Source organism: Homo sapiens, chromosome 2, assembly GCF_000001405.40.
Source record: "Homo sapiens chromosome 2, GRCh38.p14 Primary Assembly".
NCBI classification, from domain to species: domain Eukaryota; kingdom Metazoa; phylum Chordata; class Mammalia; order Primates; family Hominidae; genus Homo; species Homo sapiens.
In genome coordinates, this window is record NC_000002.12 from 158967925 (window position 1) to 158992513 (window position 24589).

The 24589-nt window shown below is 44.7% G+C and overlaps 1 protein-coding gene across 37 annotated transcripts in view, besides 3 other annotated features; it reads left to right on the top strand.

The window, feature by feature from the left end:
* Nucleotides 502–611: a silencer, noted in NCBI's record as "silent region_12040". NCBI's record gives its function as "represses an Ori minimal core promoter by ATAC-STARR-seq in GM12878 lymphoblastoid cells {active_cell/tissue: GM12878}" and the evidence as "EXISTENCE:reporter gene assay evidence [ECO:0000049][PMID:35858748]".
* Nucleotides 672–751: a silencer, noted in NCBI's record as "silent region_12041". NCBI's record gives its function as "represses an Ori minimal core promoter by ATAC-STARR-seq in GM12878 lymphoblastoid cells {active_cell/tissue: GM12878}" and the evidence as "EXISTENCE:reporter gene assay evidence [ECO:0000049][PMID:35858748]".
* TANC1 (tetratricopeptide repeat, ankyrin repeat and coiled-coil containing 1) overlaps nucleotides 716–24589 on the top strand; it is a 264020-nt gene continuing 240146 nt past the window's right edge. For 36 of the 37 annotated variants that reach the window (NR_146421.2, NM_001350065.2, XM_047446107.1 and 33 more), the window contains exon 1: nucleotides 716–858. The gene's annotated coding sequence lies outside the window, so the exon portion shown is untranslated. Of the gene's footprint in view, nucleotides 859–1703; nucleotides 2058–24589 lie in introns of those variants that run through there. The other variant, XM_047446110.1, reaches the window with a different exon arrangement.
* Nucleotides 23822–23921: an enhancer, noted in NCBI's record as "active region_16681". NCBI's record gives its function as "activates an Ori minimal core promoter by ATAC-STARR-seq in GM12878 lymphoblastoid cells {active_cell/tissue: GM12878}" and the evidence as "EXISTENCE:reporter gene assay evidence [ECO:0000049][PMID:35858748]".

Genomic DNA, 24589 nt, shown 5'->3' on the forward strand with positions numbered 1-24589 from the left:
GAATGTAGCGCAGACAGCACGGGCCAGCCCGGAGCGGTCGCAGGAGGCTCCAGACCCGCGGCCCCAGGGACGCCCGGGAAATCACCGGCCCCAGAACGTCCCCCATTCCTTTTGGGAAATAAAAAGACGCAGCCGGTGAGATGCCTTCTTAGACCTTCCAGCTCATTTAGCTGATTCTGGCCCCAGAAAGTGTGTTTGTGTTTGTGTGTAGTTAAGTGAGGCAGAGAAAATCCAAGAAAGCCGCACAAGCCACCCCAAAGCGTCCACGGAAACTCCAGCTCGGTTAATTGCTCCCATATGTCCTCCTCGGCTGTGGTAAAAAAGCAGCGAGGAGGGAAGGCCGGGTCGCTTTATTGATTTTGAAGAGGCTGTAAAAAAGACTATGGCCCATCTCATTTTGGTCCCAGAGGGGCCTAGGCGCAGCCCCGGGGGACCCGGTGCCCAGAGGGATGGTAGGGTGCTTCAGGCCCGGACCTGGCGCCGAGAGGCGGGACAAGGGGACCTCGCGCCCAAGCCCCGCGGAAAGTTCGCGCTCCGCGCTCCAGCCGGTCCCTGGATCCGCCGCAGCCCGGGGCGGGGAGGGGCGCGGGAGGCGCGGCCGGGGCGGGCGCGCGAGAGGAAGGTGCCTTCGGGAACACGCGCAAGGGCGGGGATTCGCGCTGCCAATGAGGCCCCGGTGTGGGCCGAGCAAGGCGGGGGGACGGGCCGGAGCGGAGGCTTTGCTGTGGCAGCTGCTGGAGCGGCGGCCGCCTCGGGAGCCGGAGGAGAGGCAGCCGCGGAGCGCCGAGCTGGCCTCGCCCCGAGGCCCGGCCCTGGGTGTGGGGAACCGCGCTGAGGAGCTGGAAACTTTCCCGGCAGGTAACTCCCGCAGCCCGGACTCCGCCGCGGGCCTGCGAGCGCCCCGGGCATGGCCAGCTGCCAGTGTGCGGAGAGGTCGAGAGGGACCCGGGGTGGAGAGGGTGATGGGAGAAGGGAAAGGCGTGTGGGAAAGTTTCTGGAGCGCCCCCTCCTCCGCCGGGCACACCCGGGAGCTTTCCGGGAATAGGCACAGACATGTTGGGCGCCCCGGGCCTTGGTCTCTCGGCGGCTTTGGGGAGTCCGCACCTTCCTTGCGCGGTTCCCCCGCGCCGGACCGAGCCGGCCTCCCCTGGAACCGGTGTGGTGGGAACCGGGAACGCTTGGGGCACGCTCGAGTTCTGGGACCACCCCCGCCCGGCGCGCCCGCTCGCCCCCTTTCCCGCCTTCTCTGTAGCCCTCGGGCTTGGCAAGGGCCTGGGCTACGCCTGGTACCTGGCGCGGGGGAGGCGGGGGGAGGCGCGCCTGGCACCGCGGGGTCCTGGGCGCCCCCCGGAGTGTTGGGGTGCGCGGGTCGCGAAGTTGCCGAGAGAACTTAAGCCGGAGGCATGGTATTGCCCCAGTCTGGGCTGAAAGTCTATTGCTTTGCTTCCAAGAACACTGCGATTAGCATATCCACACTCCTTTATTGGGGGTGGGGGTGAGTTAGGATTAGACGTTGGGGGTTTTTCTTTAGGGGTGGGGCGCTGAGAAGAGCGGTAATTGTCAAGATTGTGAGCCCCCTTGTTCTTGGATGCAGAGTGGTCATTTTCGGGGGACGATATCAGGGCACTGGCTTCCTGGAGGACTTTGGGGTGCGGGCGCGCAGCGCTGTGGGTGTGCGGGGCTCCCGGCTTTGGCGCGGCGGCTTTCCGGAACGCCTGGCTGGGAAGGAAGCTCTAGGCATTGTGTGGTGTGTTTGCAGACAGAAAGGTCCCTGGACCGGTGTTCTCAAAACTTACTGGACTTATTGTGTAAAGCTCCGGGAGGAAATGTGGCGTTGGCCAGGTAGAAACGCGGCGCTGCGGCCAAGGGGCGGAGGACGCCAGGCTCGGCAACGGCCTTCTCCCAGCCCCCTCCTGCCAGCTCCAGATCCGCGTGCCTCCAGTGTTGGGACCGTTCTCAGTGGCGTTGTTCCCTGCTGGAGTTAACTTGGGAGGTGAGGAGGGAACTTTCATCTTGAACTTGACCCCAGAAGCAGCGTCGTCCGTACAGGTTACAAGGTAAATGGAAGCTGAGTCTTAACGTGGGTTGGACCGCAAACTCTGGCTGGCGCGGAAAGGAAGTTCCTGGTTCAGAATCTTTGAGGAAAGGGCTCAAGATTGCTGAGATCGCTCGCTCTGGAAATGCCAGACACACCAGACTGCAGAAGTTAATGCGTGTTTGGAGGGGTGGGGGTGGGAGAGGAAAGGAGAAACCTGGTTAGTTGGCACAGAGGGCTGGTATTTCTCTGTAGTGGAAATGAAGGGAGTCTGCGTCTCTGCTTTCACCAGATCCGCTACCCTCTTTTTTCCTTCCTTGGTCATCTTTATTCCTGCCAGGCTGGCACTCCTGAGGCAGGGGAGGGGAAGGAGAGGAAAGCAGTTGTGAAGCTTCCTGGGTCAGCCTGGAGGTATTTCAGATCTGCTACTAGGAAGATTCCAGGATTTTAACAGCTGCTTCTTGATTGCTGGGAATGAAGGAGTTTATGAGCGGCTGAGACTACTTCATTATAGAAGTAGTCTGAGTGTTTTACTCATCTAAGCTACTTAAAGACCTCACAAGGGACCTTCCCTAGAGTATGCCAGTTTCTGCAGTTTGTGTCAGCCAGAATGCTTGGTGAGTGTTAGTCAAAAAGCATCATAAATATATCCTGGTGGTTCTGAAATGAAAAGTATGTGGCAGTAAAGGAAGTATGGTATCTGATATCCTTCAGGACTTCCTCCTAGGGTTGTTCCTGTTACCTGCCAAGTGAACTTGGTTCAGGCTTCCGGACTGTTGTGATTTGACAATAAGAGATGGGAAATAGTGTCATCGATTTTAGTGGAAGCAGGAAAAGTCCACAAATAAATTTAAGGTGAGTTTTTATGACCCTGTCTTGCACATGTGGTGCCCCAAACTTAACTTTTTGGCACCAAGCCTTTTGGTTTGAAGTGTTGCTGGAACTTGGAAGCAATGGTTTTCCTGCTTTCTTGGTTTAACCACCAGAATGCCCAAATTATTATAATTTATATCCATCCTTGATCTAAGATATAACTGATTCATAGTCAGCCTTTTTCTGCTTCCCATAACAGCCTGTAGAAAAAAGAACATTTTGTCTCTTTAACCACACACGATTTATTTGGTGCCATAGTAGGTTTTGACACTGGGTGATTGAGGGCATAATTTTAGAGACAATGGAGTTGTCTGGATTAAATCGTCCATTTTTAGGCAACGTTCTCTTCTGAGTTGCTGATTAATTCTTTATTTCTCTGGGAACATTAAAACCAGCATCCCTGAGCCAGTGGAACTATAATCCATATTATAATGACTCCTGCCAGCATAGCTGGAGGTTAACTTTATGTCGTTGTTTCCATTAGACATTTCTAACCTAATTGTAAAGATTTTGTCTCAGTTGGGTTGAGAGTAGGGTTGAGAGTCTCATAGAAAAAGAAATGGCTTTATTTTTATCTTTATGATAAAATAAAGTTTGTGTTACAGGAATACATTTACAGAAGCAAAATAAAGAAGAGTGTTTATATATTTGTGGGGAGGATTTGTTTTAGTGTTTAAAATAGTTTGGTTTTCAACTGTCTCTTAAATGCATATTTCAGTGGTGGAAAAACCAGAACCTCTCCCTGCCCCCTTTCTCCCCACGTTATGAAAGTGTTCACTGTACAAAGAACTCTTAAGCCTTTCTGGGTCTTGGTTTTCTCATTTTTTTCATCCCTAAAATGGGATTACCTTGCATCCCTAAAGTTCTGTGACTCTCCAAAAGTTTGAGAAATGTAGGAATTCTGAAGCCAGTGCTGTAATGTTAGAACACTGCTATGGGGTTTATAAGGGCTTGATTTACACATTTTATCCCTAACCCTTTATTTGAATAAACCAAGGCCTAGAAAGTTAAATTAGACCTGTATCATCTATAAATAGTTGAGTTGAACTTGAACCAGAGTCTTCTGATTCTCCCTAGTCTCTTCTCCTCTGTTTATTCAAACCTGCCAAACAGACTAAAGTTAATATGTGGCAATTTCTCACAATACATTTTTAGGGTTATATATGAGTTATTTTGATTTCAGAACCCCAGGGTTAACATCTATGCTTTGATGTCAGGGATTAAAAACAGTTCACCAATAATGGTAATAAAACTTTCTCCTCAAGAGAGTTTCAGAAAGTCACATGCTTCAAACTAATCATTTGTTTATTTTCAACTTCTTTTTTATTAAGTAGGCTTCAGGGTGTAATGTGATTTATAATCCGGACTAGTAACCCAGACAGCATTCTTAAGGAAATCACTTCTCAAATCTGTACCTCTTTTTAAAAATAAAAAATGAACATATCATTTGCCTTTGATCTTGGTATCTCTCAGCCTAATTGCAAAGCCTGGGTGAGTATTCCTTTTTTTGGTGTCATCATTCTTGGACTGTTCCTACTGATGGCTGGATAAGTCTGATTTTGCAGCACTTTCCATGCTAAATACATCCTTCCCTTATGCTGTTGGGTTGATGGTAAAGAGGTAGTAGGTTGCAGGTGACCCATTTTTGCTGTGTCTCTAAATGTTTGTGCTTTGTCCTGCTTGCCTAGTTAGCAGCACTCACTGCAGCTTGACACTCATCTGGAGGCTGGTATTGATTTTCTTTAACAGGTTCTAAAATGCAATTATGTGTTAAGCTGTAGGCTCTTTTATGTCTGAGCAGCTTGTCCATCTTCAGCTTTTTAAACTTATTCTCAGAGGAATGTCTTTTCAAAATATTAAGCAATGGGGTTTAAACCTCAATAAGAAGATGTATCAGTGCTCATTGGCTGGGAAGGAGGTGTAGTATATCTGAAATTGCCGCCATTTCCATGAGTGAGAGAAGAGAACATTATGAAGTGCTATTAGCTAGAGAAGTTGGGACACTTTGTACCAGGAGGGCACAAGAGCAGCAAAGGAGAAGAATGATTCTTGGTTTTTAATAATATTATCAGGAGCATGGATTTGGAATGATAGAGGACTTTGAAGAAGGCTTTCAGAGGACATTATCTTGTGGAGAGTGAAAGGAGTTCTCCTGGTTTGGTTTAGCTGTGTTGCTGATGGAACTTGCCCTTCTAGGGTCGGTGTTGTCTTTAGGTTCCCCTGCAGGTGGGTGTGATCAAGGAGAATGTTCTAGAAAGAAGAGTTCCATAGACAGAATGTCAAGGACAAAAGTGTTGCAGAGGGATGACATAGTTCCTGGATTTTAGCACAGATTTTTTCGCTAACATGAGGGAATTTATTAGGGGAAACCTTCCAGTTGTAGAGGTAGACAGATGCGAACCCATCATGTTCAGTTCACATAGCCCAGAGCCACAGTGACTCAACCTCTTCCCTGCCCCACCTCAGCACACCTAGGGTTACGTGCCAGTCATGAACAGTGGCTTATTACCTCTTTGGGTAGGAGATGGGGGTGGAGAGTAGGGAAGTCTCTCAGAAGCACTCAGCTGTGACCTTTTCATGCATGTATACCCATGCAAAAATGGGATCCTCTGTTGCATGAGCTTTTGAAGAAATATGAAAAAGATCATACGTATACGGCTGCTGGTATTATAGCTCTCAAGCCTCACATCCAGAATTGGCCTTTTTGATGTTAGTTCCAATTTGGGAAAGCCCTGGAGGGAACCCGAATTGGCTTGATGCCAGCCAAAGGAGAGTTACGGTTAGACCCATAAAATGGGGCTGTGGGGAGACAAAGTATCCCACAAAGAAGAGGGTTATTGTTAATGGAAGAGGGAGGGAGCTGGATCAACAAAAGAGCTAGCCAGGGCAGTGTACATTTCCACAAGTGGTACTGCTGATCATAACAACATACCAAAGGATATGAAGATTCTTAATGTTGTTGTGATGTACACCCCTGTAGTCTTGAGGGCAGTGGACTTGTCCACATTCTGTGGGACTCTGAATTGCTATGTACACAGACATGAGGGGGTATTGAATTACTGCTAAAAACGTAAGAGTTGGTCATTATTCCCATGTAACCCATTACACTCCCCTCTCTCTGCCATGCTTTGTTCTAAATTACTTGGGATAAGTAACATTAATTATTAATGTTTATTGAGTGCCGGCTGACTCTGAACTACATGTTTGAATTTTAAAAGTCTGTGGATGAAACAGTTTGGTTCTTTCTTCTCCTGTTGTCCTACATACGTAGAATACTATGGCAGGGATGGTCACCATACAACAGCATTCTGTGTTCTGGTCCTCCTTGCTTCTTGTGGCTTAACAACAACTGTTTATTTGCTTGGGATTCAGAAATGGGGGCCAGGTTCCCTGTGCCTAGGCTCACTGGTGCCGTGGTGGTTACATGATTCATTGAGGGCCATTGCTGCAATAGTTTACAACATTATAACCATCCTTGATACCTATGGAAGATTGGTTCCAGGATTCCCACGGATACTAAAATCCTCAAATGCTTAAGTCCCTTATTAAAAATCATGTATTATTTGCATATAGCTTATGCATACCCTCATATATATATATTTTTTAATTTTATTATTTCGAGACAGAGTCTCACTCTGTTACCCAGGCTGGAGCACAGTGGTACAATCTCAGCTACTGCAACCTTTGCCTCCCGGGTTCAAGTGATTCTCCTGCCTCGGCCTCCCGAGTAGCTGGGATTACAGGCATGTGCCACCACGCCTGGCTAATTTTTGTGTTTTTAGTAAAGATGGGGTTTCACCATGTTGGCCAGGCTGGTCTTGAACTCCTGACCTCAGGTGATCCACCTGCCTCAGCCTCCCAAAGTGCTGGGATTACAGGCGTGAGCCACCTTGCCTGGCCTCCTTTGTATTTTATTTTGAGAAAGGGTTTCCATTTGTTGCCCAGGCTGGACTGCACTGGTGTGATCATGGCTCACTGCATCCTCAACCTCCTGGACTCATGCAATCCTTCCACCTCAGCCTCCTAAGTAGCTGGGAGTACAGGTGCACACCACCACACCCAGCTAATTTTTGTATTTTTTTTTTTTTTTTTTTTTTGTAGAGACAGGGTCTTACTATGAGACCAGACCAGGCTGGTCTCAACTCTTGGTTCAAGTGATCCTCCTGCCTTGGCCTCTCAAAGTGCTGGGATTACAGGCATGAGCCAACCCCCCAGTCCTCCTTCATACTTTAAATCATCTCTAGATTATTTATAATACCTAATATAATGTAAATGCTAGATAAATAGTTGTTATTCTGTATTGTTTTAAAATTTATATTTTTATTGTATTTATTGTATTTTATTGTGTTTATTGTATTGTTATCTTTTTTCCAGTGGTCAGTTACTAGAATATTTTTTGAATATTTTCTAACCTAGGTTTGTTGAATCTGTGGCCATGGAACCTGAGATATGGAGGGTTGGGTGTGGAGGGGGGTGACTGTGCTTACTACTATAATCCTGCTTTTGATTAGTTTTCCACTGGCCATGTACTTAAGGGTAAGGTGGATGCGTCCCCTGCCCCAGGGAGTGAATTTTGATTAAGCCATCAATTTTAGTAATGCCATACCTTTTGCCAGTGACTCATTAATGAATATGTATGTGACGCCTGTTAGGTCCTGGCATATTTGAAGCATAAGGTTGTCAGCACAAGAGAACAAGTAGCACCGAGTGCAGACTAAAGGTGGCCTAAGACCACAATTACTTTTTTTTTTTTTGTCGGTGTCAGGGGTGTAGGAGGCGGGCGGGTAGAGACAGGGTCTCACCATGTTGCCCAGGCTCGTCTCGAACTCCTGGCCTCAAGCAATCCTTCCACCTCAGTTTCCCAAAGTGCTGGATTACAGAGTGAACCACCATCCCCAGCCCACAATGACTTATTTTAGCTGCTGATTAGCCAGCCCTAGAACCACTGTGACTCAGAACTTCTGTGAGAAAAAACATTTTCGTTATTGTTTCTTTCTTATCTTTTTTTTTTTTTTTTTTAAGCTAGGGTCTCACTCTATCACCCAGGCTGGACTGCAGTGGCATGATCATGGCTCACTGTAGCCTCTGCCTCCTGGGCTCAAGTGATCCTCCCACCTCAGCCTCCCAAATAGCTGGGACTACAGGTGTGCACCACCACACCTGGCTAATTTTTGTATTTTTTGTAGAGATGGGGTTTCCCCATGTTGCCCAGGCTGGTCCCGAACTCCTGGGCTCAAGGGATCCTCCCACCTTGGCCTCCCAAAGTGCTGGGATTACAGGTGTGAGCCACTGTGCCCAGCCTCATTATTGTTTAAGATCAGTGGTCCCCAGAGTGGAGTGTGCTAGATCATCCAATATGGGAGGGAAGAAAATATTCAAGAATGTTAGAAAAAATTAAGCTTTTAAAATATTTAATGTATGAGTTGACACTGGTTGGTATATCTGGTAGTCTTTTATCAACTTACATTATATGAGGTTGCCTGAGGGAAGACTGGGCCTTTTACAACCTGGTGGAATTGACAGTGGTACCCTCATTCTTATTCTTGCCTTTGGTGAACTCTATCCATCTAAATACATTTATGGCTAGATTATCTGGTTTTAACTAAACTGACCCCCAGAAAATGGGCGAGTGGTTTAAAAAGATTCTTGCAAAGAAAGTGTAATGATAATGATATAAGTATAAAGGAACAAGAAAATGTTCTTATGAGTTTAGAACATGACTTTTAAAACAAATTTGACAAGAAGGTGGCTCAAAAATTATGTATGGGCTGAGCGCGGTGACTCATGCCTGTAATCCCAGCACTTTGGGAGGCCAAGGCGGGCAGATCACCTGAGGTCAGGAGTTTAAGACCAGCCTGGCCAACATGGTGAAACCCCGTCTCTACTAAAAATACAAAAATTAGCCAGGTGTGGTAGTGTACACCTGTAATCTCAGCTACTCGAGAGGCTGAGGCAGGAGAATCACTTGAACCTGGGAGGTGGAGGTTGCCGTGAGCCAAGATTGTGCCACTGAACTCTAGCCTCGGCGGCAGAATGAGACTCCGTCTTGAAAAACAACAACAACAACAACAAAATTATGTTTGGATTTGTATTATTAATAAAAATGAACTTAAAAATACTGTTTGACTCCCATCCTTTAAAAGTTTTAAATGTTGTATAATGTATATACTACATTCATGTGTGTGTATACATACCATTCATAACTAGTTTTAATTACACATAAATTAATACAATTTATAATATGTTAGTATATATGTTATAAATTTTTTCCCCTGAAATTCCTGAGCTTCAATACGTTTTTAAAATTTTTTACTTTTTATTTTTTTAGAGGGAGTCTTGCTCTGTTGCCCAAGCTGGAGTACAGTGGTGTGATGATAGTTCACTGCAGCCTCCAACTCCTGGGCTCAAGTGATCCTGTCCCCTCAGACTCCCAAGTATCTGGGACTACAGGTGTGCACCATCACACCTGGCTTAATTAAAAAAAAATTTTTTTTTTGAGATGGAAACTTTCTCTGTTGCCCAGGTTGGAGTGCAGTGGTGCTGTCTCAGCTCACCATAGCCTCTGCCTCCTGGGTTCGAGTGATTGTCCTGCCTCAGCCTCCTGAATAGCTGGGATTACAGGTGTGCACCACCACACCTGGCTAATTTTTGTATTTTTCATAGACATGGGGTTTCACCATGTTGGCCAGGCTGGTCTCAAACTCCTGAGCTCAAGTGATCTGCCCGCCTCGGCCTCCCAAAGTGCTGGGATTACAGGCATGAGCCACCGTGCCTGGCTAATTTTTTTTTTTTTTTTTAACTGATAGTCCTGCGTGATCAAAAAAGCTTTGATACCACAATTTAAGTCACTTAGAGTTAGGTATTTTTGTTACTTGCAGCTGAAAGCATCATACCTGATATAAGGACAGATAAGAGTAGTAGCTGTCCCTGTTTTATTCTTAGCTTTCAAGAATCTCTGTGATCTGGACCCTAACTTGTTTGCAGGCCCAGCTGTCCTCTCCTTGTCTCTGCTAATACCACTGAACTCCTGCCCGTCCCTGATACTTTGTTTCAATTTTGCCTCTTCCCTCACCCTACCACCACCACTGAAATTTTGACTTTCAAGGGCTAGCTTAAATAAATATTGCTTTCTTATGAACATTTTTTCTGATTTACTCCCGCTTCCACATTTCAGTTTTTCTTTCCTTTTAGTCTCCCTAGTACATTGTACATTCATTATAATGTCTTTCTCTGTTTGCTTTTTATTATTAAGTTGTTCGCCTATTGGCTTTGCAGATGGGTTGTAGGCTTTTTGATGGTAGGGGGTCCTGTCTTACCTTTCTCATTTAAAAAGAAAACAATCTGTTTCTCCTTTGGGAGAAAGGGAGACAGAGAATCCACAGTTGTTAAACATCACTCTGGACTTGTTACTCTGGGGTGGGTCTCGCCTCCAGCCTTCTGGCAGCCTTAGGAAGGCAGGGAGCTCCATGTACATGAAAGGAGATTGAGGGCAGGGAGCTCACAGAACCAAGACAGCAGGACCCAGGATTCAGACCTGGAAAATTTTTATTTCCTGGCTGGTTTGTGTGCCCTCATGCATGTTATTTACAGTGCCATGTTCTTTCACATGGGAACACTGACACAGGTGAAATGGGAGGTTCCATAGGATGATAGTGCAAAAACATTAAAGACAATCCTAGCAGATGCAGTGAGTTCAAGGGAGAGTCCTTGTGGAGTAACACGAAAGGCCTGGTGGATGAGATGTATGAAGATCTAAATGCCTGCAGATAGTGAGCTGTCTGCAACTACCACAAAGCAAAATCATGGGCGATAACTCCCCAGGGTAGGATCTGGCCTGAGCATCCCCACTGGGAGATGGGAGGTGATGGGCTCTGTAGTGCTTAGCTGAATAGAGTTATCTATGTCAGTATTCCCTCTATGCAAAGATAGTTGAGAGTTCACAAGTTGTAGGCTTTCAAGTTGAGCTATGTTAGATATATGCTCCCCTGATGGAAGACAGACATGTCTCCAGGGTTTTGAGGGTCAAATGACAGAATGTATATAAAGTGTTTTGAACATTATAAATTGCCTCCTTAGAGGCAAGGGAACATCAAATTTGGTTGTTTTCTTGCATCAGAGACTTCTAGCTCAGATTTCTTTGTTGGCCATTTTTAAGGGCATTTCCAATGAGTTTTTAAGTGTAATGAGTTTTTAAGTGTTGGGGTTCTTAAATGGAATATGATATAATTTTTTTCAGATGAACTGCAGATATTACTTAAAATCTTGCTGTGAAACTTTCACCTGTGGAGTAAGTAGAATTCATGATTAAGGTGAATCTCTTTTGGGATCCAGTTCAGTTTTTCCAAAGGATCTGTTTATAAGCATAGGACCACTTAGCTGAGTGTGGTTGCTCATGCCTATAATTCTAGTACTTTGGGAGGCTGAGGTAGGAGGATCTCTTGAGCCAAGGAATTTCAGACCAGCCTGGGCAACATAGGAAGTCTCTGTCTCTACAAAATTTTTTTTTAAAAATTAGCCAGGCATGGTGGTACCATGCCTGTGGTCTCAGCTACGTGGGAGACTGAGGTGGGAGGGTCGCTTGAGCCTGGGAGGTTGAGGCTGCAGTTAGCTGTGATTACAGCACTGCATTCTAGCCTTGGCGACAGAGCAAGTCCTTATCTCAAAAAAAAAAGAAAAAAGAAAAAAAAAAACTTACCGTTTTCATAAAGATGGGAATCTGTGGGGCTTTTATTTCTGGTCCTGGAAACCCTAAGTACCAACTGAAAGACTCAAAAGAGCTTTGATTTCAAGGTTTTTTGTTGTTGTTGTTCTTGGCTACTGTAAATCCAGTAATTTATTTTCATGAGTCTTTGGAAAGGGTTAGGGAAAGCTTTGAAATATCTTAAGGTAGTTTTGAAAGTAAAAAGTAGGTATGGTTTGACAATTTGAAATTTGTTTCATTGTAGATTCCCAAGGCAATGGGTTTGAATAAATTAAGTTAATTCCATTTCAAAGAACTTTTGCAGTGGGATTTCATATTGTAGAAAGAGTCTGACTTATAAATCAAAACATGTTAAAGAGTAAACATATTTATAGATGCAAAAGACATCAAAACAGTGAGTGGCTCCTAAATTGCAAATAGATGCAATTGTGAAATTCTTATTCAGGGGTTGGTGAATCATCCATGTAACTTAAGAGGGCCTTATTTTTCTTAGGATTTATTTAAGTAAAGCAAGAATTCCCAAAATGCATTCTGGGGGAAACTGAGTCTTAGGAAGTTAACAGGTGTTACGCAGGGAAAAAAGTCCTGTGGTCAAATAAGTGGGAAAATCTGGGTTAACCAAAGTAAACCAGGTATTTTTGTTTTTAACTACAGGACTTTTGAGCACCCTTAGATCTAGTGTTCATTATAAATATCCTGGAAGGGAAATAGAGTAGTCAGTGTTTTCCAAACACATTGAATTGTAGAAACTTTTTTTTTTTTCCAGAACATTTTTTGGCCAGAGAACAATGTTTGTTGGGTTATCTAATTTGTTGAAATACTTAAAAATCAAATCGCAGACATCATGTAATTTTGCCTGACTAACTTTGCTATGCATTTCTAACTTAGGACTTAAAAAAATCACCACCCCATTATCACTTTTAATACAATTAACAATAATTTAAAAATATTATCTAATTTGGGCTGGGCGCGGTGGCTCACACCTGTAATCCCAGCACTTTGGGAGGCCGAAGTGGGCAGATCACGAGGTCAGGAGATTGAGACCATCCTGGCTAACACGGTGAAACCCCGTCTCTACTAAAAATACAAAAAATAGCCGGGCATGGTGGCGGGCACCTGTAGTCCCAGCTACTCAGGAGGCTGAGGCAGGAGAATGGCGTGAACCCAGAAGACGGAGCTTGCAGTGAGCCGAGATCATGCCACTGCACTCCAGCCTGGGCAACAGAGCAAGACTCCATCTCAAAAAAAAAAAAAAAAATTCTCCCTTAAATAGCATTTGTCACCATTTTTGTTTTTTGGAAACCAAGATTCAATCAAGGTTCACATTGCACTGTGGGCTGTTGTTGTTGTTTGTCTCTTTCGTCTTTTTAAATGTAGAAAAATAATATCTCATTACTTCCCTCCCTCCCATTCCTGACTTTTCTGGGTTGTCCCATATTCTGAATTTGTTTCCTGTGGCGGTGTTTACCTTGTCCCATTGTTTCCTGTATTTCCTATAAACTGGAGGCTAGGTCTAAAAGCAAGATTAGAGTCAAGTAAAATATTTTTGGCAAAAATAGGTCCTAGACTAAGATTCCCCTCTGCACTTCCGACCCCCTCTATGATTTGAGAACAGACATTTAAGTTTAGCAATTCAGAGCAGCATGGTGAGTCAGACACACCTGTAATCCTGGCACTTTGGGAGGTGGAGGCAGGAGGATTGCTTGAACTCAGGAGTTCGGGACCCTGGGCAACACGGTGAGACCTTATCTCTATTGAAAGTGAAAAAAAAATCATCTGGGTATGGTGGTTCAAGCCTGTATGTAGTCCTTGCCACTAGGGAGCCTGAGGCGGGAGGATTGCTTGAGCCTGGGAGATGATTAAAGCTGCTGCAAGCTATGATTGAACCACTGCACTCCAGCCTGGGTGACAGAGTGAGACCCTATCTTTAAAAAGTTTAGCAATTAATATATAGCTTTTATATATATATATATATATATATATATATATATATATATATATATATATATAAAGAAGTAACAGCTTAGAGTTTAAAAATTAGGTTTATTAGTATATCAAAGGGATGCAAGTTGAATTGATTCCAGGTGTGTTTGGAAAGGTATTCTGAATAGTTGGCGTGGTTAAATGGATATGTTTTCAGTATATCTTGAGACTATAAACCATGTGTCTCTTGGGTAAAGTGGCCTGGGTGTTAAACGTTTTTGGTGGTTGAATTTTATTCCGAATGACAAGTATCTGAGTTGTGATGGTAAAATAATACTCCATAGACACTTATTTTTAAAACACATTTAGGAATGTGCATTCTTTCTACCTCTGCTTGATAAATTTTTAACAGAATATTTTCATGATAAATGCTTATGCTAATCTAAAATACAGCCATAAATTCAAGGACACCCTCGGGGTGATAATTTTCTATGTACATTGTCTTAGAAACCCAGACAAGCAAATAAAAGTTCCTATCATAGCTAACTTTGCTAACTTAATTTGCTATTTACATTTTTTTTTCCCTTGATATCCTTCCAAGTGCTAGTTGTATGTCTGGGAAAAGTTAAAGGATTTTGTGAATCTTAATGAAGAATAGCTTAGTATATATAAAGAAGCTTTGCATGATGAATGGTAGCTGTCATAAGCAGCTCCCAGCGCATTCTTATATTTAATCCTTTAACCAGCAGGGACACTGTTTTCTGCATTAAAATTTGCCTGTTGTGAATAATAAGGTGACTTGGACAGAGTAGGTACTTTGTAACTATATTTAGTCCATTAAAAATATACATATACACTCCTTTTTTCTCCCCTCTTTAAAAAAACACAAACATATAGGATATGGTAAAAAGGATGATCTTTGAAACCAGATAGACTTTGGTTTTGTGTTTGGCTCTGGCAATTTACTTGACCTGTTTCTATGTCTGTAGAATGGGGACAATAATTCCTGTTTCATAGAGGTTATGCCAAGGCCAAAGGCGAAGCCCTGTATGAAAGGCTTAGCACCGTGCATGGATCAGAGCTATCAAAACCAGATCATCTTCCACCTTCTCCTCCTCTTACCATATTTTATTTTATTCTGTTTTACTTCATTTGTTTATTTAGTTTTTGAGACAGGGTTTTGCTCTGTTGCCCAGGCTGAAGTGCAGTGGCACAGTCTTGGCTCACTGCAGCTTCAACCTCCTGGGCTCAAATGATGCTCCTGCCTTAGCCTCCCCAAGAGCTGGGACCACAGGTGTGCACCATCATGCCTGACTAATTTTTTTATTTTTTTATTTTTATTTTTTTCTGTAGAGATAGGATCTGCTATGTCACCCAGGCTGGTCTCGAATGCCTGGGCTCAAGCAGTCTTCCTGCCTTGACCTCCCAAAGTGTGGGGATTATAGGCTGAACCACCACATCCAGTCCTTACCATATTTTATTCAGCATTCTGGATCAGTTGTTAAATTGAAGTTTTTAATTGTTCTGAGTGTTTTAAAAATTGTGAATTTTAAGGTACTTGTTACAGAAGTCGAGATAAGTTCTTGATTTCAAGATAATCTGTATGGGAGTTGGTTGCTTATATTAAAACAATTATATGCCTATATGAAATGTTTTGAGCTAACAAGTAGGACAGTTTTAGATGGTGATTTATAGAGGAGAAGGAGTAAGAGTCAAAAGTGGTGTTTTAGCCAGGCACGGTGGCTCACGCCTGTAATCCCAGCACTTTGGGAGGCCGAGGTGGGTTGGATCACGAGGTCAGGAGATCGAGACCATCTTGGCTAACACAGTGAAACCCCGTCTCTACTAAAAATACAAAAAATTAGCCGGGCGTGGTGGCGGGTGCCTGTAGTCCCAGCTACTCGGGAGGCTGAGGCAGGAGAATAGCGTGAACCCGGGAGGCGGAGCTTGCAATGAGCCGAGATCGCGCCACTGCACTCCAGCCTGGGAGACAGAGCAAGACTCCGTCTCCCAAAAAAAAAAAAAAAAAAACACCAAACAAACAACAAAAAAGTAGTATTTTATTATTGGCACAAAAATATTGCTAACAAACTCTGGTTTTTATGAAAATCAGTATTTAAAAAATCAATTTTTTTACTGAGACTGACAACATGTGAAGCTCCTCAGACTTTTGTAATGTTTTGCTTGAGTATGGTTTAGAACAATACACTTTATTTAGGTGGAATAAGTCTATTGTACTGTGCTCAAGTCATACATGCATATTCATTTATGAAATAAATATTACCGACAGGAGAGCAGGCTTTTCTAGAGAAGAGGATGGTCAGTGCTTCATTCAAGATCCTCACAGTGGAGAAATGGGGATTCTCCTTATTGCCTTTGTGCCTATTAAAGATGCACGCGAAGGTGGAATTAATATATCCTAAGTTTTGAACAGAAGTGGAGGAACAGTTTGGAGAATGCCTGGATATCTATGGTCCTTGCATTCTTGCCATTTATGGGTAAACCAAAAAGTGTTGTCTTCTGTCATCAGCTGTTTCCAAGTCTTGGGACTTTGGCTTTGAATCTGGCTTGGACAAGAAAAGATCTCAGCCAGGCAAGGACTGACACTGCTCCTTCCCAGATAGTGCCTGTTCTCTCAGAATGAACTTGATTCCCTACAGACTTCAAGTCAAGTGGTACTTGAGCTTTTTACACTTTTCCTCTACCATTACAAAGTTTTGTTTAATCTCTTCCTTTCTGAAATGTTTTGCTTCAACAAAAAGGACCCTTTTAACTGTCCCAACTCTACATACCAAAAGTTAAGCCAGGAGGAATCAAAGGGTGTTAGTTCCCCCTTCCATCTGGAAAAAAGAGATGCCATTTCTAGGACAGTGATTGAGACCTAAGCCAGTGGAAAATGTAAAGAGACTTTACCTTCTTCACAAGGCTTTTTTGCTTCCTTCATAAGAGTGGTGTTAGCCAACTCAACAAATAGAATTTCCTTATGAGTTTTTTAAAGATAAAAAGTTACCATGAAGGTGGTAACTATTTGACAAATTAGAAACCATTTTCATTTGTCAGCGGGTGGTGGAGGTCTTGTATTCATTTTTCCAAAAAATGTTTCTTGAGAGCTGGTCATTGTGCACTTCAGGGTTTGAGGCCCAGTGCTGTGTCTCAATCTGAGGAGACAAGTGCACACACAGTACCACTGCAAGGTGTTAGGGAGTGCAGGAGGAGGAGGAGTAGGGGGAGGAGGAGGAGTTGACAGTGGCTGGGGAAAGCTTCAGGGAGGAGGGGGAGGAGGTGAAGGTGACTTTGCCAGGTGGGAAAGAGGGTGAGAGGCTTTCTAGAGAAAAGGAGCGTAAGAAGCAGAGGCTGGGAGGCATGAAAACACAAGTTGTGTTTGGGGTGTTGTTACTAGAACGGACGGTGCTTGGCATTTGGGTACAGTGGCAGGGAGAAGAGAGCCAGATTGCAAAGGCCTTGCATGCCAGGCTAAGAAGTGTGGACTTGATCCTGTAAGCAAGTGATAGCTGTCAAAGGTTTTTCAGCAGGGAGATGATGTAATCAGATCTGTGTGTTGGAGAAAAGCTTTGGCAGCGGTGGTGTGGAGGAGAGACTGGCGTGGGGACAGATGGGCTGCAGAGCTCTCTGTTAGGAGGCTTTTGAAGTAGGTCAGGTGAGAGATGATGTTTGAGGCCTGAGTTAGTGGGAGGAAGAGAACTAATGCCAGTTGAATACCTTTGAGTGTGCACTTAAGGTGAAGGTGCATTAGCTCATGTAATCTTCACAGAAAAACTTTTCATAGGGTGCTGTTGTCATCCTCATTTTGCAGAAAAGGAAGCAAGCTCAAAGTAACCTAGTTCAGCCAGGATTGAACTTGGGTTTACTGTCCTGTGCCACCATGGTTTTTAGAACAAGATGTCAAAGAACAAAATTTCAACAAATGAAGCTTTAAAGATCTAATTGTTGTTTTTTAGGGGTCCATGAACTAGGCAGCACCCAGACTACAAAATAGGCAGGCGCTCTGCAGGGCATGGCTGAACAGCGGGTTTTGTAAGGCAGCTTGAGCAGGAGCACAGAGATTGCATAGTGCCAAAGGTGGACTGGTTAACCTCAGATTATTACTTCAGGTTACTTTCCTTGTGTGGGTTAAAGCAGAGGGGATTTCCTTATTTTTGCCAGCTCTGGTTGACTGGGCCCACCTTTTTTTTCCCTTTTCTTCCAAGACAGAGTCTCGCTTTGTTGCCCAGGCTGGAGTGCAGTGGCGTGATCTCGGTTCACTACAGCCTCCACCTCCCGGGTTCAAGCAATTCTCCTGCCTCAGCCTCCCAAGTAGCTGGGATTACAGGCATGTGCCACCACGCCCAGCTAATTTTTGTATTTTTAGTAGAGACTGGGTTTCACCACGTGGCCAGGCTGGTCTGAAACTCCTGACCTTGCGATCTGCCTGCCTTGGCCTCTCAAAGTGCTGCGATTATAAGCATGAGCGACCGCACCCAGCTGACTGGGCCCCCTTTGATTGGTTGTCGTGAATCTTGTGCTTTTTGAAAACTGGCCTGTTTGGAGATTTGACTATCATTTCTCTCCTGTTTGCTTGGAGGGTCCGATCTTACAAGTAAACAGCTTAGGTTTTGGTTTGGTGACGTGGAACTTTTGCATGAATGACTCCATTTGGGTTGGTCTGTTGGATCCTAGTGCAAGAGCTCAGTCCAAATCAGTGGCTCCCTATCAATTTCACTTAACAAGACGGAATGAGAACATGAAGAAGGAGTGCACATGGTGTATGATTTTTGGACTGGGATGAAAAGGAATACTTAGCAGCTTACTGAAGGTAGAGAGTTTCCAGGTGTGGCAACAAGGTATGGATGATGAACAATACTATAACAGCACTCTCTCAGGAGGGGAGGGGCAGAGTTTGGGGGCCATCTGGGATACCCAGTTGGAAATGCCCAGTCGGTGGTTGGAAATTTGGCATTCCTGTGGAAACTCTTTTAAGCTAATGATATACCTCCAGGTAGGCATGGACTTAGAATTTGTAGGAGGGCATGGTTAATGCCTAAGCATCATCTGGGGCACTTAATTTGGAATGCAGATTTCCAGGCCCTGCCCCCAGGAGGTGCTTCAGTAGGCCTGTGGTGGGTTTTGGGGATCTGCACTCATGTCAAGCTCCTGGGTTGAGAGTGAGACAGGTTCTCACATTTGAGAAATGTTTGGCTTTCCCAATGGCCTAGGCTGTCTTGTAATTTCACTTCCTTCAGGGAGCTTTTGATAACTCCTCAAAGAATAGGATGTTGATCTCTGGTAAAAAGCAACATCTGAGAAAATTGCTTGTTTTTAGGAACCTGTGTACATTCATACTTAATTCTGCCAATGATGCTTTTTAGTTTTTTGGATTAACACTCAAAAGTAACAAGTCCTCAAAATTAGGTTTGTTCTGTTGTTTTAAGTGGACCTTTGGCAAGAGATTTCTAGTGAAGCTTGATTCTGAGTACTTTTCTCATGTATTAAAAAGAGGCTGGAGGAGGGAACCTGGGACGTGGAGAGTGAGGAGTGATAGCCTGAGGTTCTTGGTTTGCCAACCTGGGGAAACCCTGTCTCTACTTAAAAAAAAAAAAAAATACAAAAATTGGTCAGGCGTCATTGTGGGTGCCTGTGATACTAGTTACTCAGGAGGCTGAGGCAGGAGAATCGCTTGAACCCAAGAGTCGGAGGCTGCAGTGAGCCGAGATTGCGCCACTGCACTCCAGCCTGGGTGACAGAGCAAGACTCATCTCCAAAAAAAAAAAAAAAAAAAGAGTCACTGAAGGCTGGGTATGGTGGCTCATGCCTGTGATCCCAGCAGTTTGGGAGGCTGAGGTGGGTGGATCACTTGAGCTTAGGAGTTCAAGACCAGCCTGGGCAACATGGCAAAACCCCATCTCTACAAAAAATACAAAAATTAGCCGGCTGTGGTGGTGCACACCTGTAGTTCCAGCTACTTGGGTGGCTGGGGGGTAGGAGGATCGCTTGAGCCCAGAAGGTCAAGGCTACAGTGAGCTATGATCACGCCACTGCACTCCAGCCTGTACAACAGAGCGAGACCCTGTCTCAAAAAAAGTACTCAATTCCTTGAAATCTGGGTTGTAAACCTGATCACTCATTCATTAGACCATTTGCTTATAATTAGTCCTAACCAGCCTAGGTTCCCCTTCCCCTCTGTCATGCATGTCTTTTTCTCAGGAGTAGAAGCTTTGAAGCCAGACAGACTGGGATAAGGTCCCAGTTTAGTCCCTTTGCCCCACTATGACCCTGGACAGGTTACACAGCCTCCCTGAGCTGTTTTCTGTGAATTTGGAATGTGGGAAGGTAGTTTTGGGAATGGAGTGGATAAAGTCAGAACACCTGGACTTGAGCTAGTACCACTCTGAATCTTGGGCGGGAAGGTGAAGGCTGGGCACCTGCCTGGTTCATTCAGCACACATTAAGTGCCTACTTATTCAGCTAGAGAGTGTATTTAGGGTTGACCGTGTGCATTGCTTTACATTACCTACCTTACTCTAATTTTCCTCCACAGTTGGAGGGGATTTTTGTGTGGTTGTGGTTGATGGTTATCAAGAAAAAGTGGCCGGGCGTGGTGGCTCACAAGTGTAATCCCAGCACTTTGGGAGGCTGTGGTGGGCAGATCACCTGAGGTCAGGAGTTCAAGACCAGCCTGGCCAACATGGTGAAACCCCCGTCTCTATTAAAAAGTACAAAAATTAGCCGGTCGTGGTGGTGGGCGCCTGTAATCCCAGCTACTCAGGAGGCTGAGGCCGAGAGACTTGCTTGAACCCCGGGAGGTGGAGGTTGCAGTGAGCTGAGATCGGGCCACTGTACTCCAGCCTGGGTGACAGGCAAGACCCTGTCCCAAAAAAAAAAAAAAAAAAGAAAAAGTGTTTTCGTTTTGTTTTCAGCTTGTGTGTCTTTTTTGTTGGTATCTTGTTACCCTTGGGATAATTTTTACTTTCTCTCCCGGGAGCAAGATTTGGGTTCATTAACTGCTTGCTGCTGATTAGTTCATTTTTCCGATGTGTGGGAGAGAGGAGCATCTTCCTTTATTTTCCCCTCCACCTTTGCTAAATGCCGTTACTACTTCCTGTTGCAATGACAGGGCTTCCCAGCTCCCAGCTTCTTTTCCTTAGTCCCCATCGTGTTGGGGAGGACACAGGAGAAAGTTGGCTTGCTCACTGGTTGGTTTACTCAGTCACTTAACAGGAGCCAATTGAGCCCCCACTCTATGCCAGGCTCTGTGCTAAGTGCTAGTCTAATTCAGCCCTCTTGAAGGCCTTAAGAGAGAGCAGGCATTCTTTCTTCCTACCTCATGGGGTTTTTGCAGGTGAGGCTCTGTACCTACCTCCAGGTCTCATGGCAGGTCGACTGGACCCCTGCCACCTCCTGCGGTGCTGCCCTCCTCACCCACTCCTTGCCCACTCTCACTATCGGCTTCCTAATAGGCATTTCCTGGGGCGACTGTATCTGACTAAAATTGGTCATTTTGTAGATCCTTTAGGGGTCCTGGTCCAAAGGTCAGTTTTAATGAGTGATATGGGGACTGTGGAGTTGCAGGGTGGGGAGAGAAATGTGGACCATAACTGACAGTGTTCACAGGGAGAGCACACTGGGGGAAATAAGCCTCACTATTGCAGCTGCTGAGACTGCACGTCTAGTTCATTTTGAATGGCCCCTCAAAGATACCCCCTGAGGATGCTAAATGCAGATTTGTGGATGCTGTTGGCAGAATTTGCTTGTTTATAATACTTTTTTGGGGGGTGCTGGGCAAGGTCGCTCATGCCTATAATTTCAGTACTTTGGGATCTCACCTGGCTCCACCATGATTTGGGAACAGGCATTTAAGTTTAGCAATTCAGGCCAGGCACAGTGGCTCACGCCTGCAGTCCCAGCACTGTGGGAGGCTGAGGTGGGAGGATTGCTTGAGCTCAGGAGTTTGAGAGCAGCCTGGCAACGTAGTGAGACCTCATCTCTACTAAAAGTTAAAAAAAAAAATCAGCTGAACGTGGTGGCTCATGCCTATAGTCCCAGCCACTTGGAAGGCTGAGGTGGGAGAATCACTTGAGCCTGCAAGATCGAGGCTGCACTGAGCTATGATTGTGCCACTGCATTCCAGCTTAGGCAACAGAGCAAGACTCAGTCTCAAAAAAAAAAAAAAAAAAAGAATCTTTTTTGTTTTCGGCCAGTTTGGTTCTACATTTTAGATTGCTTTTGACTGACTTTTTGGGAGACTGTCGTGCCCTTAGAGTATCCATAATAATTATGAAGATGTCAAGTCCCTTAGGACTGCATGTTTGACTTAGCTTTCAGCATCAAAACATGCATCAGAATAGCATAATGGAAAGATCAGTGATTCTGGAGTAAAGTAGACTTGGTTTCAAATTCCAGCCCTCCTCTAATGCCCTTGGATAAATTTCTTCACGGCCTTAGTTTCTTCATCTGTAAAATGGGGATTTTTTTTTTTTTTGGAGACGGATTCTCGCACTGTCACAGGGGCTGGTGTGCAGTGATACAATCTCGGTTCACTGCAACCTCCACCTCCCGGGTTCAAGCGATTCTCCTGCCTCAGCCTCCTGAGTAGCTGGGGTTACAGGCCCCTGCCACCACGCCTGGCTAATTTTTTGTATTTTTAGTAGAGATGGGGTTTCACTATGTTGGCCAGGCTGGTCTTGCACTCCTGACCTCGTGATCTGCCCGCCTGACCTCGTGATCTGCCCGCCTCAGCCTCCCAAAGTGCTGGGATTACAGGCGTGAGCCACAGCACCCGGCCAAAATGGGGATCATTTTACAAGGTGAGAAATAATGTTTGTACAGTACTTTTAGAGTAGCTCCTAGCACATAATAGATGTTCAGAAGTTCCCTTCTTGTTTGATTCAGCAGGAACTAAATTGTATCAAACTGTAGGCAGTTTGATGAATAAGATGTGGTTTCTATCCTGGAGGAACTTAAAATCTAATGGGCTAGGCTGACACATGAATTCATCCTGAGGAGGTTAAGTGCCAAGACCCAGGTTGAGGCTGGAGCAGAGCACAGGAGCATTTCCTCTGCCTGGAGGGTTGGGAGAGCCTTCTGGGAGGAGGTTATGCCTAAGCCCTGTCTTGAGGGATTGAGTAAGAATTCACTTAAGCAAGCAAGGTGGGATGGGTTGTAGCCAAAGCAACAGCATGAGCAATGGATGGAGTATTTAGGAGGACTACATGCAGTTGGGGGTTGGCTGGATGGAACAGTGTGAAGTAGGAATTCCTAGGAAATGAGCCTAGAGAGCCTGGTGAGTGTGAACTTGCTGGTGGGCCTTGTGTACCTTGCTGAAGAATTCAGGGTTATGGGCTGAGTGCTGTGGCTCACACCTGTAATCCCAGCTCTTTGGGAGGCCAGGGTGGGCGGATTGCTTGAGCTCAGGAGTTTGAGAACAGCCTGGGCAACATGGCAAACCCTCGTCTCTACAAAAAATACAAAAATTATATGGGCATGGTGGCGGGCGGCTCCAGTCCCAGCTAGTGAGGAGGCTGAGGTGGGAGGATTGCTTGAGCCTGGGAGGATTGCTTGAGCCAGCGAGGTGGAGGTTGTGGTGAGCTGAGATTGCGCCACTGCACTCCAACCTGGGTGACAGAGCCAGATCCTGTGTCAAAAAAAAAAAAAAAAAAAAAAAAGTAGAAAAAACAGCAGGGCTAGAGATCAGAGGTAGTTTAGGGATTAAAATACACTGTTACTGATTAATAATACTTACATGTAAATTTCCTGTTTTGATAGGAAGATGTAGAATTTGCTAGGAAAGAAAATAAAAATACAAGGAAAAATAATATATAAATAGTGTTAATAACATACTCATGCATTTTTACAGTGCACGGTCTGATTAAGTAAATTTTGGTACATCCATACGATAGAGTGGAATGCAGATGTTAAAAGAATGAGGTAGGTTTATGTGTGCTCTTAAGGAAAATTTTCCAAGAATATTATTTAACAAAAAATATATATGCATAGAGTATCTTTAGAAGTATATATAAGAGGCTGGGGAGGGTGGCTCACGTCTGTAATCCCAGCACTTTGGGAGGCCGAGGTGGGTGGATCACGAGGTCAGGAGATTGAGACCATCCTGGCTAACATGATGAAACCCCATCTCTACTAAAAATACAAAAAAATTAGCCAGGCGTGGTGGCGGGGGCCTGTAGTCCTGGGAGGCTGAGGCGGGAGAATGGCGTGAACCTGGGAGGCGGAGCTTGCAGTGAGCTGATATCGCACCACTGCACTCCAGCCTGGGCGACAGAGTGAGACTCTGTCTCAAAAAAGAAAGAAAGAAAGAAAATATTGTAAAGAAATGACTAACACTATACATTTTCAGGTGAGCTGGAAACCAAGTGGCAGAACATAAAAATAACCTGTGCTACTACAGTGTCATAGTATTATGCATAATGCTAGATTATTTCATGCTCTGACAATAACAGCATTCATTCATGGGGGTTTTTAGAGTTTTCACCTTTCACATACATTATTTCAGTCAAAATTAATCACTCTTCCATCTGTGCTCTCACATCAATTAAAATATTTTAAGAATTATAAATGTTAAGTGATGTTATGTAAAGTTTGGAAAGCGAGAGAAAAGAGTAATACACGTTTAGGCTGGGTGTGGTGGCTCATGTCTGTAATCCCAGCACTTTGGGAGGCTGAGACAGGCAGATCGCTTGAACCCAGGAGTTTGAGACCAGCCTGGGCAACACAGGTGAGACCTCATCTCTAGAAAAAATACAAAAATTAGATGGGCATGGTGGTGTGCACCTGCAATCTCATCTACTCCGGAGGCTGAGGTGGGTGGATCGCTTGAGCCCAGGGAGGTAGAGGCTGCAGTGAGCTGTGATCACACCACTGCACTCCATCCTGGGCTACAGACTGATACCCTGTCTCAAAAAAAAAAAAAAGAAAGTGTTTAAGTGCAGCAGCCATGATTTTATTCTCTTCCTTCCTTCCCTTCTGTTCTTTGCCTATGCCTTAAAAATGTATAGCTGTAGCTAAGGTATACATGTACTTATAGGCTTTTCTGTGTAATATATTTC